The 10,453-nt window shown below is 55.2% G+C and overlaps 1 annotated feature.

The window, feature by feature from the left end:
- Nucleotides 3,207–3,382: a silencer, noted in NCBI's record as "fragment chr10:43430829-43431004 (GRCh37/hg19 assembly coordinates)". NCBI's record gives its function as "represses an EF-1alpha promoter that drives an FKBP-Casp9 reporter gene in an ReSE screen in phorbol 12-myristate 13-acetate-treated (for megakaryocytic differentiation) K562 erythroleukemia cells {active_cell/tissue: K562(+PMA)}" and the evidence as "EXISTENCE:reporter gene assay evidence [ECO:0000049][PMID:32094911]".

Here is a 10,453-nt window from a genome sequence, read left to right as displayed (position 1 = left end):
CCGCTTTCTGTGCCTCTCATTTACACGACACCGAATCTATGTGCCACCACTTAGCCGTCTAGCTGATGTTCATGCAGGTTCACCACCTCCCAGGTGCCAGCTAGGAGAGCATGCTGTGCGAGCAGCATGTGATCAGACAGGGCCCCTGGGCACCTGTCTCACCTCAGCGAGGAGCATGGTGCACATTGAGGGGCAGTGGTTAGCAAAGGCTGCTTTGGGAAGCGGCCTCAGGGCCGGCTCCAGTGGGGAGAACAGAGTGAAGGATGCGTGGCAGCCTTGAGGTGGATGAGAGGTCAGAGAAAGGCCATAGGAGAGCAGAGGGCCCAGGAGCTGGGCTGGGGGCAAGGGCAGGCAGTGAAGGAGGGGCCAGGGAGGGCCTGGAAGGCAGGGAGTGGGTTTATCTTGATTCCAAGAGCAGTGGGTCTGGTGTGCACGGAACATTTTCACTGACCTTGGAGATCATCCTGTGTCTACCTCATTGTAGACGTTGTCTACCTCATTGTAGACGTTGTCCACCTCATTGCAGCATTGTATTCCATGGCATGGGCGTACACACATGGATGCACACACACAAACGCACACATGCACGTGCGCAAACATAGGCACATAGTTTCCTTTTACCATTTTCTTACAAATGGTATTTTCATTTGCTTCTAGACCTTTCAGTTTTCACGCAGGGTCCCAGGCAGTGCTGCTGGGCATCTGTGTACCTGCTCTCATGTATACTGGGGGAGCCTTGGGGGAGTCTGAGGATGGAAGTGCCAGCTCCTGGGTGCATGAGTGGCACATCAGTAAGCACTGCCTGGAAGCCCCAGGGCAGCTCCACCCCTTTACAATCCCTGGCAATGAAGAAAACACCTGCTCCCCACTCCTGCACCCTTCCCAGGTGTTATGAACTCAAAACATTTGCCAGCTGATGGAAACTTAGTGCTGACCTGGGCGTGGCTCAGGATCCCTCAGTGGCCATGGCCATGGCCGTGGTGAGCTTGCCCACCTCCCACCTTGTGTTTGCGCTTGCCCTTGTTCTTCTTGGCCTGTGCCTCACGCTGCATTGTTAGTCTTTTCCTACTGGTTGGTAGGACTTGTTTGTATTTTCTGGCCACTTGTACGCATGGCAAATTATTTCTCCATTTGGTAGAAAGACTTCAAGCTTGTTTGTGGAATCTTTTATCATACGGAAAATTTTCATTTTGGTGAAGTCAAGTTTATCACTATTTTCATTTATTGATTTTTGTGTGCTAATTAAGAAGATTCTTAACCTAAGTTTATAAACTTATCCTCTTGTTTTTGACTCTAAGACTTAGATAAAGGCAACTGTGGATGTTGCATGTGAGAATTAGTCCACCCAAAATGTATTTTGTGAAGGGTATAAGATAGAGATGCAACTGAATGTTTTCCGGGGCGGGGGGATGGACATTTGGCGATGCTTGTGGGTTAGGAAGCCAGTGTGGAGCTGGTGGTTCCTGCAGGGGTGGGCTGATGGGGTTCTCCAAGCCTGGCAGGAGGAAGTCCAGGCTCAGGACAGGGGTCCGAGTAACAGCCCTAATAGCACCACTTACTAGGTACAGTCAATTATGTCCTCTCCGCAGGACACAGATTTCCATCTATAAAATGGGAACGATTGCTGTCCCTATTCCTGAGTACAGACAAGGCTGGTGTAAGCAGCAGGGGGTGATATGAGTGTGCTCTGCCAATGGGGCCAACGGCTGTGATGGTGCACCCTGCCCTCACCACGGGCCTGGGGGGCAGCAACAGTAGCCTCACTAGCACCCACTTCCCTATGGTCTCCCAGGTGTCCCAGGGTACAGGTCGGGTGGAATTGTGGAAAACCCAGCACCTCCCCCAGGTTTGTATAGTCCTTGAGGGGCACGTATTCTCCTGGTCACCTGTGATCTGAAGCTCCTATTGCTGCCAGCTGAGTTCATGGAGTCGTTTCACTGTGGACGTCTCTGTGTTCCCCAAATCCCACCGTGGAGCTCCAAGGCCGAGTGTGAGGCAGCCTTCGGGGAAGGGTGCATGTTGCACTTTGGCAAACACCTGAAGGTGCTCAGTGGACAGTGGCCTCCTGCTCCTGCTGAGGCTGCCGCTCTGTGCTGTTCCTTCCTGCACCTTCCTGCAGTGTTCCAAGAGATGCCCGATGTTCCCATACTTCTTTCCAGACAGGTCCACTCTTTTCAGCCCCGCTCTTGCCTCTACTTCCAACCTACCACTGCATGTCCGCATTCATCAAGCTACTTGTCCAAATGAAAACAGACACCCGTAGAGACCTTAGGGCTCCTTTCCATGGGTGCTGGTCTCTCCTGAAGGCAGCAGTGACTCCTGAAGGCATCTCTCCCTATTTACATAGTGGTCACAGTCATTTTCCTGTCTTTTGAGGGGGTCCACTGGACAGGAAGGATACAATGGGAAGGGTATCAAGAATGACAGCCAGCCCTGTGTGTGTCCCTGGGCTGTGTGAGGATGGCCCAGGTGGTCAAGGGTAGGGATTTATAGATGGAAAGAGAGAGCACAGAAGAATTAAAACTGCCCCCACCCAACTCTTTTCTGCAAAGTGCAAGGTGTGCAAGGAAATATTGGGTATTTACTTGTTCATTCACTTGCTGAATTCATTCATTCAGCAGGTGGGGGTGTGGGGTGGGGTGCAGGGGACCTAGGTAGGGGGAGCAGACACAGCACCCCCTAGGACAGTGTGCTCTAGTGCGGGAGAGTGAGTTTAGACAAAGGATGGCAGAGCTGAAGGGGCTGTTGACACAAAGATGGGGAAGCTGAGCCTCCTGCTTGTTCTCTCTCCCCGAGCCCCTCAGGGTGGGGCACACCTCCTTATCTCCGTAGGTGTTCTCTGGAAAAAGATATCGACGGGAGTGGAATTTATCAGCTAAAACTTACTCTTAAAAAGAAATCGAACGTTTCCAACCACTGGAAGCACCTCCTCTCCCCTCACTGACTCTGTGCTGAAGACTTGGTGCTTCTCCCCTTCCCCCTAAGTCTGGGCATGGACACAAAGCCAGGACAGTCACTGAAGGATGTCTTGCAGCAGCGGCTTTCCATGGCCAGTAGGACCAGCATGGGTGGAGGGCAAGCTGAACGACACGGAGGTGAAGATGAGATGAGAGCCCAGTCACAGGGGGCGTGCCGGGAGCCTCGGTGCCCAGGAGAAGCAGCTGGGTGCATCCAGGCCTGGAGACCCCCAGGAGACCTCACAGGCCTCTGAGTCCAAGAGATGGTTTGGTCTTTGGGGCCAAGGGGGAAAGGAGAGTGTAGGAGGGAGGAGTGACAGGGACCAAGAGAAGCCTCTTTGCTCTCGGCCTGTCCACCACTGGGGGCTTTGACTGAACCACCTAGGTGACCTCCACCAGGGAGGGAGACCCCATACCTTATGGGGCCTGATTTGTCCGAGGGGACTCAAAACATGTTGGTGGAGAAGAGGTAGAGCTGGCCAGCCTCTAGTTCCTGCTTCGCTCCTCTGTGTGTGTGTGTGTGTGTGTGTGTGTCTGTGTGTCTCCCATGTATGTGTGTCTGCATGTTGCCTGTGAGTGTGTCTCCTGTGTGCAGAAGCAGAGCATGACAGAAACAGCAGGAAGACAATCTGGTGCCCTCAAGGGTGGCTTTCTTGGCCATCTTGTTAAAAAATGGGTAATGACAGTGCTAGACCATCATTAAATATAATGTGGACCGGACGTGTCCTCAGCTGACATTGCTGATTAGGGACTATTGCACAACATGGCCAAGAGTTACCATTTTTTTTCGTTTTGGGACATGAATTGGGGTACTGGGGATCACATGGGGCCCTAAATCTCCCCACCACTTCCTCCTCCCCACTGCTTTTGCCCTGGCCTCTCACAGGCCAGGACCCAAGTCATACTCCTCCTGTCCTGGCACCTAAACAGGCCTAGTGTACACAACAGGTGCTCAATGCATGCTTGTCAAAGACTAGAATGAATTCAAGGAGAGCAAACACCCACCAGCTGCACCAGCCAGGACCCCAACACTGACCTGGGGCATCGGTAGAGTCTGTTTAGAGGCGTAAGTGGGGCTTAGGAGACTGGAAAGGACAGGGAAACGTGACCTCTTTGAGGCCTGATGGGACAACAGCAGGTGTGGCTGTCGCCTTAGAGACGGCCCTGGCAGGAGCAAGGAGCAGGCTTTGGTAGAGAAGGCCACCCCCACGGCTGCCGCGGGGGTACCTGGGGAGAGAGCTGCTCCCAGATGGGGTGGGACCTGGAGAGTGAGCTGCTTCCAGGTGGCTCTGAACCCTGCTGGTGCTCCCACTGTCCAAGCCCAGTGGGAGCTGAGGCCAGAGAGCCTGCTGGGTGACAGAAGTGTGTGGAGTGTGGCCTCCACCCTCCTTGGAGCCAGCCATGGCAGGCAGCAGGAGAACAGGCTAGGCCCCTGACCTGCCCCCAGCCCTGGACCCTGCCAGGTTTGGGGGCCTGGCTCAGAGCTTCTCCCGGCCCCGAGACTGGGTGACATCAGGATTTACAGGCTCCCCATTCGATCTCAGTGGGGCTGGTGGGCAGCCATAAGGAGGCAGCAGTAGGGAGTGGGTGCATATCTGGGCATTTGGCCAGGTGCCGGGAGAGGAAAACGGAAACCTGCTCCTATTCCTCTACAGCTGTTGACGTCAGCCGGTGACATAACCCGGCCCTGCAGGTGGAGGGCGTGAGAAGTTCAAATAGCTTAAGGGGGGGTAGGGGAGTGAATGGAGTCAGCAGTGGGGTCTGTGCCAGGAGCGCTGATGCTGAGCTCTGGACGGCCGCTGAAAAGGCCGGGGGAGGAATAGACTTGCGCAGCTGTCGGGGGCTGTGACCCCTGCGCTGCGCTCAGGGAGGATCCGGCTGCAGCTGGGCTACCTTTGCTTGTGTTGGGGAGGAAGTGCCTGGGCACGGCGTGCGGGGTGCAGGGAAGCCGCAGGTGCAGGCCCGCTTCCTCCACAGGGGCTCCTCTCAGTAAGGCTGAGACCCTTCCCTTTCTTAGCGAGGGAAGACCCGGTTCCCGTTGTCCCGTACAACCGCGGCCCTGCTCCTCCTCGCCTGTTTCCAGCCTCTCCCCGCTAGGCCGCCCTCCACGCGGGATTTCCGAACAAAAGTCCAGGCGCATCACTCCATTCAGACCTTCCTGGCTCCCGGGGCCTGGGAAGGCCGGCGGAGCCAGGAGCAGAGGCCCGTCCCGCGCTTGGCGGGTTCTGCGGACGCCTGTGCCCTGCCGCGTCGCTTCGGACAGACAGGACTGGGCGGAGGAGCGTGGTCTCCATAGCCCAGCGCCCCGCCCCAGGGCCTGCCCTCGGCTCTTCCGCCCCGGGCGGGCATCCTGCCCTCCTGCAGGGCTGTGCTCCCCTGCCTACCCCAGCTCCCCTTCGTAGCCCAGCCTCTCCCTTTTTCCCGAGACCCTATTCCCCTGAGATGTCCCTGGGCCCCGACTTCCCTTTGCCTCAGGTGTCCACAGGTGTCTGTCCCAGGCCAGACTGGACAGAGAGGCAGAGAGGCTTACGCCCGTCGGGGTCTTAGGGAGCTGCCCGCAGCGCGCTGGCCCTGCCCGGAGCGCGTGATTCTTAATGGAAAGGCCCATATGCAAACGGTGGTGGCAGGAGGGACGAGCGCAGCGGGGACACCAAGACCCAGCCACATCTGGACACGGCGACCCCGGGGCAGCATGTGGGCACGGATGGTAACTGTGCAGGACGCATGGTGACCAGGAGCAAAGACGGGGCGAGCGCAGGCAGGGCGTGCTGCCAGCCAGAGCGCAGCATTCCCCCAGGGTGCCGGACTAAGCCGGAACCCGCTGAGACTGGGGGCGCGGGAGCACAGGGCTGGGGAGCAGGAGGCACCGGCTTTCCTCAGCAGGGCCCTCAGACCCCGCCCCGCCCCGCCCACAGCCCCCGACCCTACACTCAGGCCACGCCCTCCGCAGGAGGCCCCGCCCTCTCCACGGGAGCCCCGCCCCGGCCCCATGCACTCCCTCTTCACAAACGCAGTTCTTCAGCCTTAGGTGATAGAGAATTGGCAGGCTGCGGAGGGCGTTAGAAAGCCCAAAATCCCGGGCGCCGGGAGGCAATAAGAGCAGAAGATGAAGGGCTTGGAGCCAGGGATGAGCCTGAGGTTTTAGGGGAGGACAGAAAATCAGAGAATGAGAGTCGAGTAGGCTCCTTTAGCCTCTTGCAGACAAGCGGGTCGAGATTAGGATGGAGCTGGTGGGGGCCTTTCTTCTTTTGGTGCAGGGGTTTGCCCAGGAGACCAGGGCTAGGAGCCGACAAGAGTCAACGCCCAGCAGGCTACCCCGAGTGCCGCCAGGTCAGTCAGGCCCCTGGAAGGAAGGAGCCCGCTATGTCCGAGGTAGGACAATCTGCTGCTGCTTCTCCCTCCCGGGAAAGGCCAGGGATACCCAGAACCAAAGGACAGGGCCACAGTGAGGCCTCGGCCAGGTTTGCCCACCTAGTGCTCTGCAAGCCCTGGGGGAGCGCAGGTCCCTCCCACAGCTCATGGCCTCCGGGCCTCCTTGTCCTGCCTTACTTCAAGGTGCCCTGGCCCGCCCTGATCACGGTGACCACGCAGGGCCCAGGCCTTATCCAAGGGAGAACCCTGTCCTGACCACTGGCCACCCACCTCCCACATCCTCACAGCCACTGTCCTGGGTTCCACCCCAATGACCACCTTTCCTCCAGGCCCTTCCAGGCCACCCTTCAGCTGTCCTTGAGTGATGGCCATGCAGGCAGAGTTTACAGGAGAGGGGTCAATGGATCAATGACCCACAAAGTCCTTTCCTCGTGTCGCCTCCCAGCTCCCTTTACTCACTGCCAACTTTTCCTCTCAATTCTGATGAAAATGAACAGAGAGGCTCTGAGAGGCTCTGCAACAGATGAACACATTTAACTGGGGGCGAGCAGTACTTCTTAGCCTATTTGAACCCAGACCCTTTCTCGTCTAACACATTGTAAGGAATGCTAACTAAAGTCCAGAGCCCACCATTTATTCCTTCAGCATTTGAGTGCCTCCTTGGGCCTTTCTTGGTCTCCAGTCCGATGACTCCCTCCTGCTGGGCGTTGCTCCTTCATTACTTGCTCCCTGCCTCCTGCCAGGGACTCCGAAGATTAGCCCTCAGGAGAGTGCTGGGCCTCGTTGGCTCTGTATCCCTCCCCACTCCCACCCGTCTGCATAACATTTCTATCAACAGCCATCAAGAGATGCTGGTGAAGCCACTTTTCCTGCTCCTCCCACCTGCTCTAGGAAGCACCCCAGGAGGCCTGGGAGAACACACAGTGGGGGTTTCCTTCTTGGGAACTTCCAGGATTATTGCATCCATGTGTACAGGCTGCCAGAGGTGGGTGAATGTGGTAGCCCCTGATCCAGTCTGGGGGCTCCTTAGAAGCAGGAATTTAATGGAGAGGGGAGTTCAGCCCTGAGACAGGACTGCTCATCTGAGGAATGAATGAGGCTGGAGGAAGGTCAGTGAGCCCCCAGTATTGAGGGCCGACACAGCATCCTCCATGAGAAACAGAGACAGGAAGGAAAGAAAAGACAGTGAAATAAATGCATCCACGGAGGAGAGAGGAGTGGCTGAGGACTCTCAATGTGTTCTTCAGTTTTTTCAGACATTTTTGGAACTCACAGGAAAGCATGTAGAATAATTCAGCTTGAGCCTCACCAGGTCTTCCCAATGGTGCAGGCTGTACATGCTCCACCCTGGTCAGGTCTGCAGGGTAGTGGCTGCTCTGAGAAGGGCAAGTGCAGCAGGAGGCCCCTGGAGTGGGCGGCTAGGACTAGGCGGCAGGTGCTGATAGCAGGCTGATCCCTAGGCTGACAGGGGCCATGTGGGAGACGCGGTGGGAACAGGTGACAACTACACAGTGGGGTGACAAAGGTGAAGGAGGCAGAGGGCTGGGTAGGTATGGGGTACACTGTGACCCATGCCTTCCCCTGCGCTCCCCACCCCCTCCCCACTATAAGCACTGGTTGCAGGGCCCAGCTTGTCCCAAACCATAGCTGGTGGCACCTCCCCTTTCCTGGGTGGGACCTTCTGAAAATGAGGGTGCGGGGGCAGGGGGTGGTATTCATGGGCAAAGGTGTAAGAAGGCTGAGCTCAGGCACGGATGCAACCAGCCAGCACGAGCCCCCCACACCCATGCTGGGCTCCTCGAGGTGCGGACCTCCCCACACCCTACCTACACAAGTTGGCCCTAAACCCTGACGGAAGGTCAGTACTCAGCAAAAAATAAAGCAAGTGAAATCAGGCCACTGGACTCAGCACTTTCTTGGGTCTTTAAAACTTTGGTCACCCTTGATCATGGGAAACCATACACCATATTCAGGCACCATGCTGGCAACTCTACTCCCAGGATATGGGCTTCAGAACCAAGTCAGATGGGAACCCATCCCCAGCCTCTGGATCCTCCTTGCTCAACTGGAAGAAAGAGCAGGGCTTAGTCTATGCTTTGCCTGGGGGGAGAAGATCTTGCTTATTTCAGAGCTTCGAAGACCTTGGCCTGCCACATGTAATCCACACTCTGAGAGCCACAAGCGTCATTCGCTCTCACCATCGCCTGTGGGGTTGTCACCCGAGGGCCAGCTTCAGAGACAGCTGCTCTCCTCTGCAGGTGCAGCATCCACCTGACGTCACTGGAACTGGGGAAAGACACTTTTCTGGACAGCCAGGGACGAGGGCAGTGGCCTTCCAGCAGAGCCACCTGCCGCAGCCTGACAGATTGATGTAAGGAAGGTGGAAACAGTCTGTTCCTGGCCTTGTCCTACCAGGGGAGGAGGATTGAGAAATGTGTCTGGTGTTGGTGCTACAGGAGAATGCATAAGTAGCCAATTCACTTACTGGAAAAGAAATGACCTAATCTGCCAAGCGGCCTGCATCCTAATGGGCAGACCATGCGGCAGAGTGGGAGGGCAAGCAAGGGGCCTGGCCCATGCCCTGGGTGGGGTCTGGGGGACCGAAGGCCCTTGGGCCTTCAGTCTCCACCCTGTCTGGCAGGAGCAGAGCCCCTTTGAAAGCAGCAGTGATTCTGAAAGTGCCACTCTTCAAGCCAAGAGCCCCCCATACCAGAGTCAAATGCACCCAAGAAGGAGCGGGACTTAAAGTGAACTCAGTGAGGGCGTCCCAGACAGGAAAGAGCCAGGAAAGCTTCCATGACAATGAAGCCCACTGTGTGTTTTTCAGAGTGTGTCCATCTTTCTTTTTTCTTTATTATGTCAGTAACATACAGTTGCCACAAATAAATAAGCAAAAAGGGGAAATAATAGACTCCTAGTAGCCCCACACACAGATGTGATGTTTGTGTGGGTGCCGCAACCCAGCGTTGGGACCTCTCTGCATGGGAATCACCTGAGGTTGTGCTGGGCTGCAGTTCTGTGATTCTGACAAGCTCCCAATGATGCAGAAACAGCTGGTCCGGGGACCACACTTTGAGTAGCAAGACCCTCACAGATGTTTAAAAATGTGTAGCATATACATTTTTGTTCTAAAATGTTTCCATTAAGTACATACTATTTTATAACATGACTCAATTCAGTAACTTATTACGACTTTTTTCCCACACCCGAAATATACTTCAATAACATAATTTTTAGTGGCTACTCAGAATTCCATTGTATCTAAGTTCCAGAACTTAGTTAACCAATCTCCTGTTATTGGACACAGGTTGTTTTCAACTTTATTATAAATAGCCCTTGCAAAGATCAACCTTCCACTAAATCTTACACACATCCTTAATTATTTCTTTAGAATTTCAGTAAGTAAAATTAAAGGCATTGCATAATTTTAGAACTTTCCATATGGATTACTAAACTGTCCTCTGAAAAGGTTTACCAACTAACACAGCCACTTGCAGTGTCCTGGTCACTCTCGTGTTAAACATTCCTGCAGGTAAGTAAAATGGAGTGACATTGCTCCATCAGAGAAGTCATACTTTCCCTGATGAAAAGCCTTGCTTCTCGCTCACTTATGACACATATATTCACCACCTGCTGTGCCGTGTGGCATCCTGATAAGCACTCGAGGGGCATGAAGATACCCAAAAGAGTCCAAGAAAAAACAGAGGCCTGATACAAACCATCCAAGCTCCCAAATTTTCTCCGAAGATGCTTAGATCTCTAAAGAGTTGCTCTCTGGGAAGGGCCTTCTGGGAGCCTCTATCTGTTGCCTTTGACTTACCAATGAGGCACCTGAAGGCAAGCAGCATGGTGAGCTGCGCGTCTTGGATCTCTAGGACACCAACCCGGATGTCTACCCTCCCATCCTTTCCCATTTCCCCGACACGTCGTCAATGCCCTTCACAGGCAGCACTCAGCTCCTCTGATGCCCCACACATATATTGGCAAATCCCAGAGTCCCAGGCTGTCCTGGAAAGGAAGAGGCAGCTATCCAGGGGGCCAAGAAAGGAGGTCCTGCGAGGTAAGAGGAGGGCAGCACGGGGCAGGCTACAGGGGCTGAGACATGGTATTGGCTCGAGAGGACC

Source organism: Homo sapiens, chromosome 10 (assembly GCF_000001405.40).
Source record: "Homo sapiens chromosome 10, GRCh38.p14 Primary Assembly".
NCBI lineage: Eukaryota > Metazoa > Chordata > Mammalia > Primates > Hominidae > Homo > Homo sapiens.
This window is presented reverse-complemented; position numbering and strand designations above follow the sequence as displayed.